Source organism: Homo sapiens, chromosome 8 (assembly GCF_000001405.40).
Source record: "Homo sapiens chromosome 8, GRCh38.p14 Primary Assembly".
In the NCBI taxonomy this organism is placed as follows: domain Eukaryota; kingdom Metazoa; phylum Chordata; class Mammalia; order Primates; family Hominidae; genus Homo; species Homo sapiens.
This window is the reverse complement of record NC_000008.11, coordinates 62,854,821-62,877,648: the sequence shown is the minus strand read 5'-3', so window position 1 is coordinate 62,877,648 and position 22,828 is coordinate 62,854,821. Positions and strand designations below refer to the sequence as shown.

Here is a 22,828-nt window from a genome sequence, read left to right as displayed (position 1 = left end):
CAGATTTGGGTAGGACTGCGTAACTTAAAATTTTAGCATTACAAATTTCAACCAGGAAATGAGGTGTCTGGCTCCAGGCCAAGATCCTATGTGTGACCTTTCATGTCAAACCATAGGAGGTTTCCAAGTCATTATCTGGCAGGCTCATGGGGGAAGCTGCCCTCCCCACATCAGCTAGTGCTCTGCCATCCCTGAAGGGAAGTGCAGTCAAGGACTCAGATCCTGACCCCCACTCCCCTCAACTCTACAGCTGACCCTGTCTCGTGTATTTGCATTTCTACCTTAAGTGCCTCCATTCCGAGGCCGCCTAATTGGGCTGCCCCTAGCTTTGGGTGCATCTGCTGAGAACACCTTATTGGGGGAGACTTGAAGAAAATTTTCTTAACTTTGAATGGGTATTTTGTATTTTTTTCACTACTAGTCCTTTCCTCTTCCTCTCTGGGTCCATAAGATAGGAGGAGCCTTTGGTTCAGAGCTCCTTTGGCCGTGAGACCACCCTGGCCATGTGCAACACTGTGGGAGCTGGCACCTTCATCCTGGCCTGCACTACAACAATGAATAAAGGATTGCTGGTTACTTTCAGTTTGGTTCTTCCTAATTGACCCCTTCAAGGCAGGGTAGCTTGGCTTTCACTCTCTCTCTCTCCTTTTCTTTTTTTTTTTTGAGAGTTAAAAACCCCAAACTTTTATTGAAAATTTTTTCTTTATTTCTTCCAAACAAACAAACACGGGATACATGTGCAGAACGTGCAGTTTTGTTACATAGGTATACGTGTGCCATGATGGTTTGCTGCACCTATTGACCCATCCTCTAAGTTCCTTGCCTCACCCCCACCCCTCAATAGGCCCTGGTGTATTGTTACCCTCTCTGTGTCCATGAGTTCTCAATGTTCAACTCACATTTATGAGTGAGAACATGGGGTGTTTGGTTTTCTGTTCCTGAGTTAGTTTGCTGAGGCTGATGGGTTCCAGCTTCATCTATGTCCCTGCAAAGGACATGATCTCATTCCTTTTTATGGCTGCATAGCATTCTATGGTGTATATTTACCACATTTTCTTTATCCAGTCTATCATCGATGGGCATTTTGTTTGTTTCCATGTCTTTGCTATTGTAAATAGTGCTGCAATAAACATATGTGTGCATGTGTCTTTATAGTAGAATGACTTATATTACTTTGGGTATATACCCAGTAATGGGATTGCTGGGTCAAATGGTATTTCTGATTCTAGATCATTGAGGAATCACCACACTGTCTTCTACAATGGTTGAACTAATTTACATTCACACCAAGAGGGTAAAAGCATTCCTATTCCTCCACACCCTCACCAGTATCTATTGTTTCCTGACTTTTTGATAATCACCATTCTGACTGGTGTGAGATGGTGACTCACTGTGGTTTTGATTTGCTGATCGGTGATGTTGAACTTTTTTTATGTGTTTGTTGGCTGCATAAATGTCTTCTTTTGAGAAGTGTCTGTTCATATCCTTTGCCCGCTTTTTGATGGGGTTGTTTGTTTCTTGTAAATATGTTTAAATTCCTTGTAAATTCTGGATATTACACCCTTGTCAGATGGGTAGATTGCAAAAATTTTCTCCCAATCTGTAGGTTGCCTGTTCACTCTAATGCTAGTTTCTTTTGCTGTACATTAGCTCTTTAGTTTAATTAGATCTCATTTGTCAATTTTGGCTTTTGTTGCAATTGCTTTTGCTGTTTTTTCATGAAGTCTTTTCCCATTCCTATGTCCTGAATGGTATTGCCTAGGCTTTCTTCTAGGGTTTTTATGGTTTTGAATTTTACATCTAAGTCTTTAGACCATCTTGAGTTAATTTTTGTATAAGATGTAAGGGATGGGTCCAGATTCAGTTTTCTACATATGGCTAGCCTGTTTTCCAAGCACCATTTCCTGAATAGGAGGAGATCCTTTCCCCATTGCTTGTTTTTGTCAAGTTTGTCGAAGATCAGATGGTTGTAGATTTGTGTTGTTATTTCTGAGGTCTCTGTTCTGCTCCGTTGGCCTATATGTCTGTTTTGGTACCAGGACTATGATGCTTTGGTTTCTGTAGCCTTGTAGTATAGTTTGAAGTCAGGTAGCGTGATGCCTCAAGCTTTGTTCTTTTTGCTGAAGATTGTCTTGACTATACGAGGTGTTTGATTCCATATGAAATTTAAAATAGTTTTTTTTCTAATTCTGTGAAGAATGTCAATTGTGGTTTGATGGGAATGGCATTGAATCTATAGATTACTTTTGGTAGTATGGCCATTTTCACGATATTGATTCCTCCTATCCATAAGGATGGAATGTTTTTTCATTTGTTTGTGTCCTCTCTTATTTCCTTGAGCAGTGGTTTGTAGTTCTCCTTGAAGAGGTCCTTCACCTCCCTTGTTAGCTGTATTCCTAGGTATTTTATTCTCTTTGTAGCCATTGTGAATGGGAGTTCACTCATGATTTGGCTCTCTGCTTGCCTATTGTTGGTGTATAGGAATGGTTGTGATTTTTGCACATTAGTTTTGTATCCTGAGACTTTGTTGAAGTTGCTTATCAGTTCAAGGAGTGTTTGAGTTTTTGGGCTGCGACGATGGGGTTTTCTAAATATAAAATCATGTTGTCTGCAAACAGAGACAACCTGACTTCCTCCCTTCCTATTTGAATATGCTTTATTTCTTTCTCTTGCCTGATTGCCCTGGCCAGAACTTCCAATACTATGTTGAATAGGAGTGGTGAGAGAGGGCATCCTTGTGTTGTGCTGGTTTTCAAAGGGAATGCTTCCAGCTTTTGCCCATTCAATAGGATATTGGCTGTAGGTCTGTCATAAATAGCTCCTATTATTTTGAGATATATTCCATCAATACCTAGTTTATTGAGAGTTTTTACCATGAAGTGATGTTGAATTTTATCAAAGGCCTTTTCTGCATCTATTGAGATAATCATGTGGTTTTTGTCTTTGGTTCTGTTTATGTGATGGATTATATTTATTGATTTGCATATGTTGAACCAGCCTTGCATCCCAGGGATGAAGCCAACTTGATGGTGGTGGATAAGTTTTTTGATGTGCTGCTGGATTCAGTTTGCCAGTATTTCATTGAGGATTTTTGCATTGATGTTCATCAGGGATATTTGCCTGAAGTTTTCTTTTTTTGTTGCGTCTCTTCCCTGTTTTGGTATCAGCATGATACTGGCTTCATAAAATGATTTAGGGAGGAGTCCCTCCTTTTCAATTGTTTGGAGTAGTTTCAGCTCCTTTTTATATTTCTGGTAGAATTCAGCTATGAATCCATCTGGTCCTGGGGTTTTTTTGGTTGGTAGGCTATTAATTACTGCTTCAATTTCAGGGCTTGTTATTGGTCTACTCAGGGATTCAACTTCCTCTTGGTTTAGTCTTGGTAGTGTGTATGCATCCAGGAATTTATCATTTCTTCTAGATTGTCTAGTTTATTTGCGTAGAGGTGTTTATAATATTATCTGATGGTAGTTTTTATTTCTTTGGGGTCAGTGGTGAAATCTCTTTATCATTTTTTATTGTGTCTATTTGATTCTTCTCTCTCTTCTTTATTAGTCTAGCTAGTGGTTTATCTATTTTGTTAGTTTTTTTCAAAAAACCAGCTCCTGAATTCGTTGATTTTTTGGAGGGTTTTTCATGTCTCTATCTCCTTCAATTCTTCTCTGATCTTAGTTATTGATTGTTGTCTGCTAGCTTTTGGTTTTGTTTGTTCTTGCCTTGCTAGCTCTTTTAATTGTGACGTCTAGGTGTCAATTTGAGATTTTTCTAGCTTTCTGATGTGGGCATTTAGTGCTATAAATTTCCCTGTTAACACTGCTTTAGCCATAACCCAGAGATTCTGGTATATTGCCTCTTTGTTCTCGTTCATTTCAAAGAACTTCTTGATTTCTGCCTTAATTTCATTATTTACACAGGAGTCATTCAGGAGCAGGTTGTTCAGTTTCCATGTAATTGTGTGGTTTTGAGTGAGTTTCTTATTCCTGAGTTCTAATTTGATTATACTGTGGTCTGAGATACTGTTATGATTTCAGTTTCTTTACATTTGCTTAGGAATGTTTTACTTCCAATTATATGGTCAATTTTAGAATAAGTGCCATGTGGTACTGAGAGGAATGTATATTCTGTTGTTTTGGGGTAGAGAATTCTGCAGACGTCTACTAGATCCATTTGATCCAGAGTTGAGTTCAAGTCCTGAATGTCTTTGTTAATTTTCTGTCTCTTTGATCTGTCTGATACTGACAGTGGGGTGTTAAAATCTCCCAGTATTATAGTGTGGGAGTCTAAGTCTCTTTGTAGGTCCCTAAGAACTTGTTTTGTGAATCTGGATGCTTCTTTATTGGGTGCATGTATATTTAGAATAGTTAGCTCTTCTTGTTGAATTATTCCCTTTACCATTATGTAATGCCCTTCCTTGTCTTTTTTGTTCTTTGTTGATTTAAAGTCTGTTTTGTCAGAGACTACAATTGCAACTGCCACTTTTTTGCTTTCCATCTGCTTGGCAAATTTTCCTCCATCTCTTTATTTTGAGCCTATGTGTGTCTGCACACAGGATGGGTCTCTTGAATACAATACACTGATTTGTCTTAACTCCTTATCCAATTTGCCAGTCTGTGTCTTTTACATTTAAGGTTAGTATTGTTATGTGTGAATTTGATCCTGTCATTATGATGCTATTTAGTTATTTTGTACATGAGTTGATGCACTTTCTTCATAGTGTCATTGATCTTCATATTTTGGTGTGTTTTTGCAGTGGCTGGTACCAGTTTTTCCTTTCCGTATTTAGTGCTTTCAGGAGCTCTTGAAGAGCAGGCCTGGTGGTAATGAAATCCCTCAGCATTTGCTTGTCTGTAAAGGATTTTATTTCTCCTTTGCTTATGAAGCTTAATTTGGCTGGATATGAAATTCTGAGTTGAAAATTCTTTTCACTCTCTCTTGACTGAGGGCATATGTGGACTTACTCACTCCTTACCCTCTGAGAAATAACCCTTCTGTTCACAATGCCATTTGGCAGAGTTGTGTCTTTCTTATTCATTTAAAAAAACAAAATCACACAATGGTAACACAATGCTCAAAAACTGAAGTGAGTTCTAGATTCTAATGCTTGGGCAGGAGGGGACATGAACAGTGAGAGTCCAGTTGGATGCTCCTGCATTTGCACTTTCAGCTGTGCTGCTGTGAGGAGATCTCAGCTGTTGTGCATGAGCTTTACATACCCTAGATGTTACTGGGATCTCCTTATCTCTCAGAGGTTTAGAATACTTGGCTCAAAATGAATATTAGTCCTAAGTACTCCCCAAGACTTCAGCAAATTCCTTGCACTACATGTCACCACAGAGTTCTCTGTCCTGAGTTTGCAGATACAAATATGCTCTAGTCATGCATTGCTTAACAACAGGGATACCTTCTGACAATGGCATCATCAGGTGCTTTTCGCTGTGTAGGCAACATGAAGTGTACTTACACAAAACTAGATGGTGTTGCCAACTATACATCTAGGCTATATGGTATAAGCTATTCCTTCTAGGCTACAAGCATGTGCAGCAAGTTACTGTACTGAATACTGTGGGCAGATGGAACACAATGGTAAGTATTTGTGTATCAAAACTTATCTAAACATAGAAAAGTAAAATATAGCAGTATAATATCATGGAACCACCATTGTATATGTGGTTTGTCATTAACCAAAATGTCCTTATGCAATGCATGACTATGTTTCAAATTCCTATGTGGATTCCATTTATATTTTTTGGAAAGTTAAGTATTATTAATTTCCTTTCTAAATTAATTTGCCTCCTGAATAAAGCATAGCTGAGATATTCTAGATTGGTCAGATCACTGATTCCTCATCATTTTCCACAAGTGGTGAAAATGGCAATTTTACTGGAGATATGAAAAGTTAAAGGAGGGATTCCATAGGCATCTTCTGCTACCTTCAACTGTTCCATGCCCTGCTCCCTTCCCAAAGCCCGAATTCCTCTTCTGCCACATTCTTCCTTGGGCTTGGCCCCCAGAAGGGCATCCCATGCCCTGACTTCAGCTGTTTGCAGCCCCTCTGCAGTTATAAAATGAATAAGTTCTGGAGACCTAATGTATAGCATGGTAACTACAGTTAATAATATTGTTCATTTGAAATTTGCTAAGAAAGTAGATACTAAGTGTTCTCATCACACACACACACTAATGGTAACTATGTGAGGGAATGGCTTTTATTGTTTGTTTGTTTGTTTTTGTTTTTTTTTTTTTTTTGAGACAGAGTCTCGCTCTGTCACCCAGGTTGGAGTGCAGTGGCAAGATCTCGGCCAACTGCAACCTCTGCCTTCTGAGTTCGAGCAATTCTCCTGCCTCAGCCTCCTGAGTAGCTGGGATTACAGGTGCACACCACCAGGTCTGGCTAATTTTTTTATATTTTTAGTAGAGATGGGGTTTCACCATGTTGGCCAGGCTGGTCTCAAACTCTTGACCTCAGGTGATCCACCCACTTTGGCCTCCCAAAGTGCTGGGATTACAGTTCGGAGCCACTGCACCCAGCCTGGATGTGTTAATAGCTTGAGTGTGTCAGTCATTTCATAATGTGTACATATATCAAAACATCACATTATAACCTTGAATATATACAATTTTTGTTTGTCAATGTTACCTCAATAAGACTGAAACAGTCAGTCTTTGAGTCTGGTTTTCCCAGTATGATCTTTGTTGTGCTAAAGAAGAGAAATCTAAAACTTTTCCCTCGAACTACTTTTCCAAAGCTAAACAGTAAGACGGCTTCATTTAGTGATTTCCATTCTTTCTCATCTCTAATGCACATCTATTTCTTTAAAAGTCCTTATATTAACCAGGGCATTCCAGAGGGACAGACCCAATACAATATATATCTCTCTATATATATCTATATATCTAGATATCTAGATATATATAGATATATAGATATAGAGATATAGATATATAGATATATAGATAGAGAGATATAGATATATAGATATCTATATATATCTAGATATAGATATATATATAAAATAGAGTTTATTTTGTATATATATTGTATATGTATATGTTGTATATATATGTACTATATATGGTGTATATATAGTATATATAGTATATATATGTACATATTGTACATATATACATATATACGTACATATTGTATATATTGTACTTATTGTACATTATATACAATATATATGTATATACAATATACAATATAATATGTATATATTGTATATATGTACATATATTGTATATATGTACAATGTATATTGTACATATATAGTGTATATATTTAGTATATGCATATATTTTGTGTATATACATACAAAATAGAGTTTATATATCTCTCTATATATAGATGTATATATATCTATAGATATTTATATATATCTATATATAGATATATATATAGATATCTATAGATATCTATATATAGATATAGATATATATATACAAAATAGAGTTTATTAGGGAGACTTGGCTCACAGGATTATAAGGCAAAGTCACACAATAGGTCGTCTGCAAGCTGGTGAAGAAGAGAAGCCTGGAGTGGCTCAGTCCACATCCAAAAGCCTCAAAGAAAGGGGGCTGGGGCTGGGCGCGGTGGCTCACACCTGTAATCCAAGCACTTTGGGAGGCCGACGCGGGTGGATCACGAGGTCAGGAGATCGAGACCATCTTGGCTAACACGGCGAAACCCCGTCTCTACTAAAAATACAAAAAAATTAGCTGGGCGTGGTGGCGAGTGCCTGTAGTCCCAGCCACTTCGGGGGGGCTGAGGCAGGAGAATGGCGTGAACTCGGGAGGCGGAGCTTGCAGTGAGCCGAGATCGCGCCACTGCACTCCAGCCTGGGCAACAGAGCTAGACTCTGTCTCAAAACAAAAACAAAAACAAAAACAGAAACAAACAAAGGAAAAAAAACGGGGCTGACAGTGCCGCCCTCAGTCTGAGGCCAAAGGCCTGGGAGCCCCACCTACCCCCCGCAAGGGGTTGCTGGTGCAAGTAGACCCAGCAAGCTGCTTCTCTGCCTTTTTCTGCCTGCTTTGTTTTAGCCGCACTGAGAGCCGATTTGGTGGAGTCCACTGAGTTGATTTCTCTGGTTAGATATCATTAATCTTCATTCTAACCTAATTTGCCTATTGGAGAAACATTTCCATAAAACAATTTTCTTTTCTTCTAATATTTCATCTTTCAAATATTTTAAAAGCAAACTAACACAGGAACAGAAAACCAAACACCGCATGTTCTCACTCATAAGTGAGAGTTGAACAATGAGAACACATGGACCCCGGGAGGGGAACATCACACACCTGCGCATGTCAGGGGGCGGGGGGCGCCGGGTGGCGGCAAGGGGAGGGAGAGCATTAGGACAAATATCTAATGCATGCTGGGCTTAAAGCCTAGATGACGGGTTGATAGGTGCAGCAAACCACCATGGCACATGCATACCTATATAACAAACCTGCACGTTGAGCACATGTATTCCAAAACTTAAAGGAAAATTTATTAAAAAAAGTTACAAATGCCTTTTCTTTAGAATCACCATTTCTTTTCCACAGCATTCTTTGCCGAGGTCATTTCAGAGGACATGCCAACAAAGGCATACCCCACTCTCCTATTCTGCGTAGTTGCGATTATCAGGCCCATTCCCATCAACAGAGTCTACTGCCAGAAGAAAACTACAGGGGCAAGGAGAAAAGATCTAATCCTTTTTTTTTTCCCCTTCTCTCCTGTCTCTGCTGTGAGCAACAGTGAGAAAGGCCTGAATGCTAATTCAGAAGTCTTCATCCTGCTGTAGATCCATCACTTGCAGTCTATCGGCAGATTATGGAAATACTAGGCATGATGTTCTCATAAGGCAGGGCCTCCGATGACAGCCCTTCCAGTCAACACTCATGCCAGTGTTTAGAAACTGAGCTTATCAGGGTTTATAAACGTTGAATGCATGCAATTTTCCCTCACTAAGTTTTTCAGGATATAAGAACTGAGTAACGGTGTTCAAAAGTAAGCATTCACATGCATGAAAATGCTGGCATTATCACAACAGGGTCCCAAAGCACAGGGCCGACTATTCAGTACACTGGCTGAATCAAAGTTACAGCACCACGGGTATCATCATTATTTTAGTCTGAAGCTGAACCAGGTCGAGGGTTAATCCAAGCAAAAATTCTCCTTTGTCTAAAACTTCTTGCTACTTCAAGTATAAATTGTTTCTGCCTGAATTATTCAGATAAATGCCTCCTTGGTCCATTTTCTTTTGCTAGCATAGTCTTAGTTTATAATAGAAGCAAATACCAGGTCACAAGGAAAAAAAAAAAAGGAAATGAACTAAGAATAAAGAAGAAACCATGAAAAGAAAAAGAAATACTCTATACCATCAGTATGATGAAATGATTTTTGCTTTCATTAAAGTTCTTATGCCTCACCATAGAGGGTTATTTAAAGCAGTTGTAAAGCTCAAGTGTTCATAATTTGACTTCTTATTCTGGTGAGAATATCTGCTTCCTTTTCTAACAGTCATACTTCTCTTTCTTTTCCTTTAAAGATGTTTTTCAAACTCCAAACACCCTGGTCTCTTAATGCATTCTAGTCAGATCCAGTACACTCTTTGCAAAATGACATGGGAATCTTGAACAAGGTTTCCTGTCAGTTTAATGATTCAGTTGTTGATTTGCTGATATGTTTTAAAGCCATTTATTCTTACACAGCTGCATGTACTACATTGCTCTGTGCGTGTATTTGTGAATATATGTATATATTTTCAGTGTAAATATACTCATACACATAAAACAAAGGGATCTATTTCATTTTGGAACATGGTTTGATCAAAGAGAAGCTTTTTATTCTTTGTTTTTAGACTGCCAGTGAAGGGTAGTTATGAAAAATATGTCATATGCTGCTTTAAATGTATCGGTTAAACGCTAGGCTATTGGATTCATCATTATCAGCTAATGTTTCTGCTACTGGGCAGTGCGTTTTAGTATGAAATTTATTGTGGAACCTCACTATTCCCATCCTCTGAGTTGACTGTGTGGTCACAGCCTTGCTGAGAAGAGAGCAGTCATGGATGAGTGGAGGCTTTTGGTTCCTCTTGCATAAGTCTTTTGAGCTATGACAGACATTGGTCAATCAATTCTCAGTTCTCTCCTCCTATCTCCTATTTTCTTTTGCTGGACTTTCTGGTGTGTCTTTTTTTAGTTTCATTCTTGGTACATTTATCAGTAAAAATAATAATTACAGTGAATATCATGTACTGATTATACACTGTGCTAGGCACTATGTTGAGGGCTTTATACATGATCTCATTCAATCCTTAAAACAGTCTTATGAAGAAGTTGCTACCATTTTTCAATTCGTAAAGAAGAAATTGAGACATGAGAAGACTAATGAAATTGCCTGATATGACATGATGTAGCAGTGAAATGTCAGAATTCTAACCCAGATGCGTATGACTCTAAAGATCATGTTTTTAATCATTCGGGTGTTCTGACTGCTTCTTGAATACGAAAAATAGAGACCCTATGGTTACTCTCTTTACCCTTTTCTTTTTTTTTTTTTTTTCTGGAAACAAAGCAAAACAAAACAGTTTAATTTTTTTTTTTTTTTAAGACGGAGTCTCGCTCTGTCGCCCAGTCTGGAGTGCAGTGGCGCAATCTCGGCTCACTGCAAGCTCTGCCTCCAGCGTTCACGCCATTCTCCTGCCTCAGCCTCCAGAGTAGCTGGGTCTACAGGCACCCGCCACCAAGCCCGGCCAATTTTTTTTTTTTTTTGTATTTTTAGTAGAGACGGGGTTTCACTGTGTTAGTCAGGATGGTCTCGATCTCCTGACCTCGTGATCCACCCGCCTCGGCCTCCCAAAGTGCTGGGATTAGAGGCGTGAGCCACTGCGCCTGGCCAATACTTTAATTTTTAAGACAACCGCAAACACCTCAAACAATGGATTATTGTTACAACACTTGTTAGCTTTTCACAATCTAGTTATTGCAAAGGCATATGGATAAATGTTAATGGACAAAGTAAAAAATGAGGCACCTTAATTAATGTAAAATTTAAAGTAAAAAGACATTGAATCCACTGACTTCTAAAACAGGCTAAATATACCTCTATATGTTACATTCTAAAATTGTATTGCCACCTGTGGTTTGTGTCTTGGATTCTACAATTAATTTTAAGGAAATGCATAAACAAAACTGTGTGCAACTTGCAAAGGGAAAATCATTTTCTCAACTTCATTTCATGGAAAGACAATAAAAAAGCTGCTAAAATTTGTTGTAGCCACACATAAAGCTACCTACGGAATGAATATGATCACTGTTACCTTTGAGCTGTGAGGAGAATTCTGCCCACTGCACTGCAAATTGTATATACCATACCTTGTGTTCTAGACAAGCATGATCATGCTTTTTCGAAAATATATGTATTTTTTCATTCGACACAATGAACACATTTCTCTTTTCCAATTTAATCTATGTGGAGCTTAAGTTACAGTGCCCAGAGGAGGCATTATGACATGGTACTAAGCCTTTACATTTTTAAAGTGAAATCCCTCTTTTTCTTTAAAAATACTTTTAAAAATATGCAAAAATACAAATGGGACTGCTAAATTATTATGCATATTTTAGAATGAGAAGCCTATTTTTTCTTCCTTTAAAGTGCCACATAGAGAATGATATCTTACAACCCGGAGCCACTTTTTTAAAAATCCAATGTGAAAGGACTGTTATGGAATGAAAAGCTTGCACAACTCCTAGAAGCAGTTAAAGTCGGCTACATGCAACATATGCTACATAGAACTCAAGACTTGGTAGCTTTTCTGAAATTTGAGCCCCCCTCCCATGTTTAATGGAAAGTAACATTTACAGTGTGTGTTTACATACACTATAATACAGGAATGATGTCCCTTTGCCAGAAGATAACATTGCATATTTCCTTGCTATTTCTTGGTTCCAACTTGATAATTTCTTAAGGTTATCAATAATATAGTACTCAGCTAAAATTTATTTTTCATAAATAGATAGTCACAAACCCTGCCAAAACACAAAGGGGAAAGTATTTCTCATTAAAAAAATGACATTTGCATGTCACACAACACAAGAAACAATGCTTAGAGACACGTTATTGTTTCCAGAAGAAAACGGTCAGTAAACCACTAAGGGAAGTCAAAAGACTGCTCTTCCCCAGGATCAGAGTGCACAAAAAGCAAAATGTCAAACAACAGTACTTCAAAGCAAAATAAATGTCTGAGGATGAAGCCAGCTCACTTGTAATCCTGTTAAAGAATGAGAGTCACCGTTTATGTCCAACGCTCTGGGAACACTTGCTAGCTCAGAATGCAGTATTGGTAGAATTTGGTAAGAATTCAACCAAGGATGCTGAAGGCATTCGCCAGCTGAGGATCGTTTTTTCTGGAACCATTTCTAACATCGGGATCAGGAAATCTGTAAACTATGCAGCATCTTCATGGGGCCAGCCATACTTCTCCACAAGTACATCAAAAGGGCACCAGGGTTTCAGCTTGGTGATGTCGCAGTTCTCCTTTTCTGGTGAAAAACTCCTCGAAATATTTCCCCAACATAGCGTATTTTTTTCCAGAAGAAAACGGTCAGTAAACCGGACTCTCCCCAGCAGTTCAATGATCAATGCTATGTGATCTTCGTCTCTGGAATAGTCTTCCCCAGAATGTGGTTCAAACAAATAATCGCCCATTGCCAGCTCAAATGCCATACACGCCGCGCTCCAGATGTCCGCAGGGGTGCTGTATCCCTCTCCTATTAAAACCTCTATGGAACGGTATTGACTCATCTGGATGTCTTCCGTGAAGTGTTTATGCGCCCAACAAGCATTTCCCAGGTCAGCAATTTCTACTCTAATTTTATCTGCATTCCGTGTATCCAGGGGATTCATCAACAAGTCAGCCTCCCGGGTTTTTGCTTTTGGCAAATCCCCAGTACTGGAGGCTGAAACCGTCCTGCTTCTGTCAGTAAGTGGTGATCCCTCAGAAAGCACAGAGCTGCAGGCCACAGGTTCTAAGGATCCAGAAAACAACGAGGTGGAAAACTCTGGAAACTGTGACTCGGGAATTTTATGCCATACATTTGGCAATTCACTATTGAATTGTTCATAGGAGCTGTTATATGTGTAATCACTTTCTGCATTTGGCTCATCAAGATTATATTCCTCAGTATTTGGGCGGTCTTCTTCATTATCCTCTTCATCGTCCAGTTGCTGCTCCAGTAAGAATGGGCCATTTTCAAGATGGCCATTGGTTTTAGGTGATTCTATCCACGTAGGGTCTATGTTCGCAAGTTCCTGATCTACATCATCTTCTTTCTCAATGTTTTCTTTCTCAGGGTCTTCTTTCTCTTCCTGGTCCTCAGCTTCAGCATTGTCCTTTGCCGTCTGCCTCGGCCGCCTCCTCTAATCCTGCTGTTTTTAGTTTCACTTCTGCGCAGTATTCGCCATCCGCCAGAGCCTCCTCCCGGTCGGTTGAGCAAGTGAAAGCCGCAGCCCGGCTGGTTTCCGCGCTCGCGTCGCCATCACCTCCGCGAAGCCCCTGTAGCCCCGCTTGCGCCGCGTCGGAATGAGCTCCAGGAAAGTGTTGCCCATTCAGGCCCAAAAGCGGAGGCCGAAAAGAGAGAAACACCCTACAAAGCTGGAGCCTCAACAGAAAGCTCCTTTAGTTCTTTCTCCTCCACCTCCACCACCACCACCGCCACCTTTGGCAGACCCCACACCACCAGAGCCAAAGGAGGAGATCCTGGATCAGATGATGAGCAAGAGGACCCTGCGGACTACTGCAAAGGTGGCTATCATCCAGTGAAAATTGCAGACCTCTTCAATGGCCGGTATCATGTTATTAGAAAGCTTGGATGGGGGCACTTCTCTACTGTCTGGCTGTGCTGGGATATGTAGGGGAAAAGATTTGTTGCAATGAAAGTTGTAAAAAGTGCTCAGCGTGATACAGACACAGCCTTGGATGAAATAAAATTGCTCAAATGTGTTCGAGAAAGTTATCCCAGTGACCCAAACAAAGACATGGTGATCCAGCTCGTTGACTTCAAGATTTCAGGCATGAATGGGATACATGTCTGCATGGTCTTGGGAGTACTTGGCCACCATCTCCTCAACTGGATCATCAAGTTCAACTATCAAGGCCTCCCACCCAGTACGTTGTCTGAAGAGTATCATTTGACATTTCCTTCAAGGGTTAGAATATCTACACAGTAAGACCAAGATTACTCATACTGACATAAAGCCGCAAAACATCTTGATGTGTATGGATGATGCATATGTGAGAAGAACGGCAGCTGAGACCACTGAGGGGCAGAAAGCAGGTATTCCTCCTCCTTCAGGGTCTGCAGTGAGTACGGCTCCACAGCAGAAACCTATAGGAAAAATATCTAAAAACAAAAAGAAAAAACTGAAAAATAAACAGAAGAGGCAGGCTGAGTTATTGGAAAAACGCCTGCAGGAGATAGAAGAATTGGAGCAAGAAGCCGAAAGGAAAATAATAGAAGAAAACATCACCTCAGCTGCACCTTCCAATGAGCAGGATGGGGAATACCCTTTTCTTAACTTGAGAGATATATGATACAGAGGATCAAAGCACCTAGAGTCTCCATAGTCACATCCTTGCATGTACACGTGTGGTTACATACCAACATATGTATGCATACACATGCACACACATATATGCATACACACAGACACTTAAAACACTGAAAACTGTGTCTTATCACTCCTGCACTGTGGAAAAATAAACCATTTTTAAGCTCCTTTTAGAGTTTTTGCAAAAAACAAAAGCTAATGCCGTTTTTCCTAATCTGAGCCCCCAAAGCTACACTTATATTATCTAACTTCTCTGTGGAATATTCTTATCTTTTTCATTCTGTTTTATTTCCTGAGTCTTCATTCTTTCCATTTCTTCAGGTCATTGACTTGTATCCCATCTCTCCTAAAAGCTATAAATCATTCAATGTTATTTTCTTCAATTCCAAAGCAATTTTCAGTGATCTTTAAAAACTATTGAATCTATTTTATTTAGAACTAAATTTTTTTAAAATGATTTTCAGTACTCTTTTCATGAAGGAAGGAAAACTCAGGTATTATAATAAATGTTAAATATTTCCTTTTTTTGTCCCTGAAAATGTTTTGAATTATTTTTAATTGCACTCTTTATTTTAGTTTTTAAATATATGATGCTCTTTTCAAGAAACCAGTTTCTTTAATCTTTTTAATTTTAAATATAAGTGCACTTTAGTTTTCACTTTGTTTTACCTACAAATAATCATGATTTTCTATGTGATATTGAAAATGTCTTTGTTATGATTCCATTCATTGATTCCATATTTTCTTTTTTTTTTAAATTACTACTTTCTTTCTAGAACTGACTGCTTTGACACTGCTATCTATGTGAAATATTTCTTCTTCTGTTTAACTATGTCAACATGATGAATCGGATCTGCCATGTAAATGAGAAGCCAAATAATGTTTTTACTGCTTTAAAATACAGAGGGGAAGCTGTCTAGTTTTATTAATATTGTTTTTATAATGGCACTGCATAGTTTTTAATGAGTGAGGAGAGCAAGAATAAAAATATCACCCAACATTCAGATTATGTAATAGCCAAATGGAAAAGTCTGAGCAGCTCTAATATGTACTCAATGTGGTCATAATAAAAAGATATTTTATAACTTTTCATGATTCTGGCTAGTTATGTGTTTTCAGGAATCCTCGTTTGGTGTAAACTATAGTTCACCTGTGCTAATACTGAAATCCTGGAGTCCATGGGAAGGTATTGGTTTTAGGTAATGATTTTATTTAACACCTGGTGCTCTTTGCACAGATGTGCATCCTTGCTTCTCCTCTTGACAAGGAGGAAAGACAATAGATGGGTAGAGATGGGTAGATGGAGCCCTTCCGTAGATTTCTTTCATTAAATTCTCCATGGGATGACATCTTTGACTGATCATGAATACATGTACCTGGCAGAAGATCAATAGCTCAGGCAGCAGGCTAGAAGACAGGTGGGCTTTGGGCTGAAAAAGTCTAAATATTTCAAAGTCCTGGGATTTCTGTGTTAGGAACAGTATATTTTGTTTTCTTTTGTACTCCAGTGTTTTCCTACCTAAGGGAGGCTGCTGGAAGTGATGATAAAAGCACCAGGGCTAGCCTTGGCTTTCAGTGATTTCAAGTGACGCCAGGAAAGTCCCTGAGTTCCCAGAATCACAAGGTTGTGAGGGACTAGGTAGTATGCAGAACATATATCCCTGGTGACATTTGAAATTATTTGTGGGTCTGGAAGCTTTTGAGGCATTGATAAAAAATTGAGATTGTCTTTGTTTATTGTGTTCATGGTGTTTTCACCCAGCTCGAGGAGTTACTCAGTCATGACACTATGGTTTGTGTGTGTGACTAAGACCAGTTCTTGAATAATGGCCAGTATCCTTATTGAACTAAAGTGGAACTTTGAGGATCCCCAGATAATGAGGTTTCCAATTCTGTCATGTGTGCCTTGAGAACCCTCCGCAGTAACTATGGGAGACATCATCACTGATCGAGGCACACAATTTATGCTAAGCCCAGAAGAGGACTGGGAATTCTACAAATATCTAGCTAGGCAGCCACTACCAGTAGATTAGTTGTCAAGCATGTTAAGTCTATTTGTCTTGGCTGTCTTAGGCCTTGAGTAAGCATTCAGCATAAGGCCTTCTGCCTGTCCTGGAATGAGGCCAGATAGGTGGATCAGTCCCAGAAGAGCTTCACTGTCCCCTTAGAGAAAAATTAGTCTGAGTAGAAATATCTAGATTTATTTCTAGGATATATGGTCTGGAGGCTGTCTTATCCTTGGTTATGAGCCATGTGCAAGAACACAAGTTGTCAGGAACAACTGCTCCTAGTCACCACTTGCAACCTAAGGTCAAGAAGCTGGCCTCGGACCAATCTGCATCAGATAGAAAAATTCATCTGACAGCATTGCATATGGACAAGTACCACCGACTATCTCTAATGCCTGTTCAAACCTCTCCAGGAACTTGTTTAGCAGGAAGAAGTGGGAGAAAGCCCTCTGCAGTGAATTACACTGTCTCTTCAAGGTCTGTGAGCTGGGCTAGTCTCTTAGAAGAAGGCTTAGGCCTAGTCCTTGATCACCTGTTAGTGTAAATTATCTGCAATGTTAAAACAGAAGCGAGGGAGAAAAAAGCAAACTGGCATCTATGGTGGCTGGAATTTTGTATACACAATGTCATTAATCTTTTCAACAGCCCCTTGAGTGAGTGGTATGATTTCATTTTACATGCAAGAAAGGTGATGGCTCAGAGGGATTGTGGACCCTGCCCAGTGTCACAAGTAGGAAAATGACAGAGGTGAGATTACATTTAGGTCTGCTCAGATGCTGCCCTTATTCCTTACGGCATCTGCTGCTACCATACCATGTGGCCTGTACTTGAAAATAAGCCACATCTTTCCTATCACATATTTTGCCTCTTCCAAATTTTAAATAGCTTCCCACTATTGTTTCAGGTCGCTACTCTACAGTCAGCATTTAAGCAGATTGGTCAAGCACTATTACCCACCTATCCAAGCTTAAAGGCTGCCATTAGTAATAATTCTGACATTTCTGAGGTCATTCCTTCTCCTCCCCTCAACATAGAGACACAGTCTGGCTCCACAATTCAAAATGAAAAAGCAAAATGGCAACAAATGTCAAGTGCAACAGTGATTCTTACAGACAAAGCACTAAGAGAGCAAAGCTATTAAAAATTTCATTCTACTTTGCTCTTCCATTTACTGGGCTATATCTTCTTTATGGTACTGAAATCAGCAACATTGGAAGCAATATCTATGACCACTACCTAGGACACAGACACTCTCCTGTACATGAGAATCTAGCAGAGTGAGACCCACGAATAGCTTATTTAGTACTGGGGGTTGGTAGCAAAAAGTAAGTAAATCTTGTAGGATTTACTATAAAGAATATAGGGAAATATAGCAACATAAGAGCTCATTATCTTTGAAGCAATGTAAGCACACACACACGCATGCACACACACACACGCATATATGTATATATTTATGTGGTTTTGGTTAAAATGTTATTTATTTAATTTGGTTAAATGTAACTAGGCTACTTCCATGAAGTTTTTTTTTTTTTAGTTGAAGTAAGAGTATAGAAAAAGTTATCTGGGTTACTAAGAATAGATAGGATGGCTGGTGCAGGAGCCCAGACAAGATGAGCCAGACAAGCTTGGCCTAAGGTTGTGGTGGTCAAAGTAGAATAAAGTAGATACCTCTGTGTTACTCAGGAGATTAACAAGTGATAAGGCTTGGTTATGAACTGGGGTGAGTGGATACAGCAACTTCAACTGAATTATCCAGCTATCCACAGTGGGATTGGTCAGGGAAATAACCCAACTCATGGAGAAGAAAGAAAAGCAGGGTAGGGCGATGGCCCACCTGGGTGTGACACAGGGCCAAGGGAACCCCCATATCCAGTTAAAGGAAGCAGTGAGTGATTGTGCGACCCTGGGAAACCACGCTTCTCCCACAGATCTTTGCAACCTGCGGATCAGGAGATCCCCTTATGAGCCCACACCACCAGGGCCTTGGGTCCGACACACAGAGCTATGTGGAGTCTTGGCAGAGAAGCTGCTCAGGCATGCACTGAGACCCAGGAGCTTTACATACTCCAGTCCTGGGATCCCCAACAAAGGTGTCTGCAGCCCAGGCAATGCACGGTGTCTGTACATACCCCTAGGAAGGGGGCTGAACCCAAGGAGCCAAGCAGCATTGGCCTGTGGGTCCCACTTCCATGGCACCTCACAAGACAAGACCCACTGGCTTGGAATTCCAGCCAGCCTGCAGTAAAAGGGTGCCTGCCTGAGAAGAAATGGGGCCCTGAGGGGAGGGGCAGGCTGCCATCTCTGCTGTTTGGTTGACTCAGCTGTTCCAGCCTGTGGACTTTGAAGAGTCCAAATGGTCTGGATGAGGAAGAGTTTCCCCAGTGCAGCATAGCTGCTTTGCCAGAATGTGGCCAGATTGCTTCTGTAAGCTGGACCTCAAACCATTCCCCCTCATTGGGTGAGACCTCCCAGCTGGGCCTCCAGCTACCTCAACCTGCACATACGGTATGAACAGTTCTGATCTTTCCCTGGGATGAAGTGCCCTGGGGGTGGGGCATGTCACTACCTTGGCTGTTCAAGCATCTTAGCCAGTCCAGCTTGTGGGCTTTGGGGTGCTCAATCTGATCAGAGGCTGAAGAGATCCCCAACACGCATGCTGCTCTATCAAAAAGCAGCCAGACTGCTTCTTTAAGCAGGTACTAGATCACTTTTCTTCTGACTGGGTGAGACCTCCCAAACAAAGTCTTCAGGTACCTCTTACAACTGCATTTGGCCTGGCAACAGGTCCGTACCCCCCGGGATGGAGCTTCCAGAGGAAGGGGCAGGCTGCCATCTTTGCTATTTCGCAGACTTCGGTGGTGATACCTCCAGGTACAGGAAAAACGGAGGTAACTAGGGTCTGGAGCAGACTCCCAGCAAACCACAGCAGCCCTATGCAACAGCCATCAGACTGTTCAAAGAAAAACAACAACAACAAAAAAAACACAGAAAACAACAACAACAAGAAAAAATCCCTGTGAGAACCCCATCCAAAGGTTGGCAACCTCAAAGATCAAAGGTAGATAAGCCCACAAAGATGAGAAAGAATCAACTCAAAAATGTCAAAAACTCAAAAAACCAGAGTGCCCCCTTTCTTCTAAATGACTACAGTGCTTCTGCAGCAAGGGCTTAAAACAGGGCTAAGGCTGAGATGCTGAAATGACAGAAGTAGGCTTCAGAATGTGGATAAAAATGAACTTCGCTGAGCTAAAGGAATATGTTTTAACCCAACACAAAGAATCTAAAAATCATAATAAAACAATGCAGAAGCTGACAGCCAAAATAGCAAGTTTAGAGAGGAACATGATAGAACTGAAAAACACAGTATAAGAACTTCACAATGCAATCACAAGTATTAATAGCAGAATAGATCAAGTGGAAGAAAGAATTTCAGAGCTTGAAGACTGTTTTTCTGAAATAAGACTGGCAGAAAAGAATAGATAAAAAAGAATGTAAAGGAATGAACAAAACCTCCAAGAACTATGTGATTATGTAAAGAGATCAAATCTATGACTGATTGGGGTACGTGAAAGAGACAGGGAGAATGGAACCAATTTGGAAAACATACTTCAGGATATCATCCAGGAGAACTTCCTCAACCTGGCAACACAGGCCAACATTCAAATTCAGGAAATGCAGAGAACTCCAGTAAGATACTCCATGAAAAGATTATCCCCAAGATACATAATCATCAGATCTCTAAGGTCGAAATGAAACAAATAATGTTAAGGGCAGCAAATAATGTTAAGAGAAAGGCAAGGTCACCTACAAAGGGAAGCCCATGAGAATAACAGTGATCCTCTCAGAAGAAACTCTACAGCCAGAAGAGATTGGGGCCCTATATTCAACATTCTTAAAGGAAAGAATTTCTGGTCCAAGTTGGTCACTTCCCTACACCAAAGTGAGAAGTAGCCAACATGTAAAGGTGGGAGTCGTATTACAAAACTGAGGCCGATGAAGAAGCAAAGAAGAACAAGAAGAGAACCTTGAAGCAAGTGGAGACTATAAGTATTCAGGAAGAGATAGTTTGTTTTTTTTTTGTTGATGCCTCCAGGGCTATGTTTGAATCTCAGAGTAAAGATGAGTTGACTCCCTTTGACATGAGCATCCAGTGTATCCAAAGTGTGTACATCAGTAAGATCATAAACAGTGTTTGAGATCTCTTGGCAGTGATGCTCTATAGTGCAGAGAAAGACAAAGATTCAGTGAAATATTTACATCTTACAGGAGTTGGATAAGCCAGGTGCAAAATAAATTCTAGAGCTTGACCAGTTTAAGGGGCAGCAGGAACAAAAACGTTTCCAAGACCTGATGGGCCACAGATCTGATGACTCACTCAGTGAAGTGCTGTGTATCTGTGCCAACCTCTTTAGTGATGTCCAGTTCATGATGAGTCATAACAAGATCATGCTGTTCACCAATGAAGACAACCCCATGGCAATGACAGTGCCTAAGCCAGCTGAGCCAGGACCAAAGCTGGTGATCTCTGAGATACAGGTATCTTCCTTGACTTGAAGCACCTGAAGAAACCTGGGGGCTTTGACATATCCTTATTCTATAGAGATATCACCAGCATAGCAGAGGATGAGGACCTCAGGGTTCACTTTGAGGAATCCAGCAAACTAGAAGGTTCACTCCAAGGAGACCAGGAAGCAAGCACTAAGCAGGTTAAAGCTGAAGCTCATCAAAGATATAGTGATCTCTGGGCATTTATAATCTGGTCCAGAGGGCTCTCAAGCCTTCTCCAATAAAGCTCTATTGGGAAACAAATGAACCAGTGAAAACCAAGACCCAGACATTTAATACAAATACAGGAAGTTTGCTTCTGCCTAGTGATACCAAGAGGTCTGAGATCTATGGGAGTCTCAGATTATAATGGAGAAAGGGGAAACAGAAGAGTTAAAACAGTTTGATGATCCAGGTTTGATGCTCATGGGGTGTAAGCCCTTGGTAATGCTGAAGAAGCACCATCATCTGAGGCCCTCCCTGTTCATGTGCCCTGAGGAGTTGCTGGTGATTGGGAGCTCAACCCTGTTTAGTGCTCTGCACATAAAGTGTCTGGACAAGGAGGTTGTAGCATCACGCAGATACACACCCCGCAGGAACATCTCTCTTTATTTTGTGGCTTTGGTGCCACAGGAAGAGGAGTTGGATGACCAGAAATTTCTGGTGACTCCTCCAGGATTCCAGCTTGTCTTTTTACTCTTTGCTGATGATAAAAGGAAGATGCCCTTTACTGAAAGTCATGGCAACTCCAGAGCAGGTGGACAAGATGAAGGCTATCGTTCAGAAGCTCCGCTTCACATGCAGAAGTGACAGCTTTGAGAACCCTGGGCTGCAGCAGCACTTCAGGAACCTGGAGGCCTTGGCCTTGGATTTGATGGAGACTGAACAAGCAGTGGACCTGACATTGCCCAAGGTTGAAGCAATGAATAAAAGATTGGACTCCCTGGTGGTTGAGTTTAAGGAGCTTGTTTACCCACCAGATTACAATCCTGAAGGGAAATTTACCAAGAGAAAACAAAATAATGAAGATTTTGGAAGCAAAAGACCCAAGATGAAGTATTCAGAAGAGGAGCTGAAGGCCAATATCAGCAAGGGCATGCTGGGCAATTTCACTGTGCCCATGCTGAAAGAGGCATATGGGCTGAAGAAGCAGGAGCTGCTGGAAGTTCTCTCTGAGCACTTCCAGGCCTGACCAGAGGCTGTGTGACCAGCTGCCCTTCCACACTGTGGCCAGGCTGGCAGGCCTTGTTCCCAGCCAGTTAAAATGTGTTTCTTCTGAGCTAGGAAGAGTCTGCCCAATAGAAGTTGAGGGACTTTACATTTTTGAGGCTTTCTGTTGCCACGGTGAAGGTGTAGTCCTCCCACTTTGCTGTTCCTTACTTTATTGCCTAAAGAGCCCTAAGTTTGTACTGAACACAAACAAACAAACAAAAAAACAAAAAATAAAAATAAAAAAAAGAAAAGAATTTCCAGCCCAGAATTTCATATCCAGACAAACTAAGCATTATAAGTGAAGGAGAAATAAGATCCTTTTCAGACAGGCAAATGCTTAGGCAGGCAAATGCTGTCTCAATGAACTGCCTAATAATGTCAGTGGGATGTTAAACCTCTGCCTTACAGGAGCGTATGAAGGAAGCACTAAATATGGAAAGGAAAAATCGTTACCAGCCATTAC

The 22,828-nt window shown here is 40.4% G+C and overlaps 1 protein-coding gene and 3 pseudogenes across 4 annotated transcripts in view; 2 read left to right on the top strand and 2 right to left on the bottom strand.

The window, feature by feature from the left end:
- NKAIN3 (sodium/potassium transporting ATPase interacting 3) overlaps positions 1 to 22,828 on the bottom strand; it is a 750,799-nt gene that overhangs the window by 122,004 nt on the left and 605,967 nt on the right. The window lies entirely within an intron of this gene.
- LOC112268019 (SRSF protein kinase 2-like) lies at positions 11,969 to 17,449 on the bottom strand (annotated as a pseudogene).
- SRPK2P1 (SRPK2 pseudogene 1) lies at positions 13,461 to 14,552 on the top strand (annotated as a pseudogene).
- On the top strand, positions 20,515 to 22,564 carry XRCC6P4 (X-ray repair cross complementing 6 pseudogene 4; annotated as a pseudogene).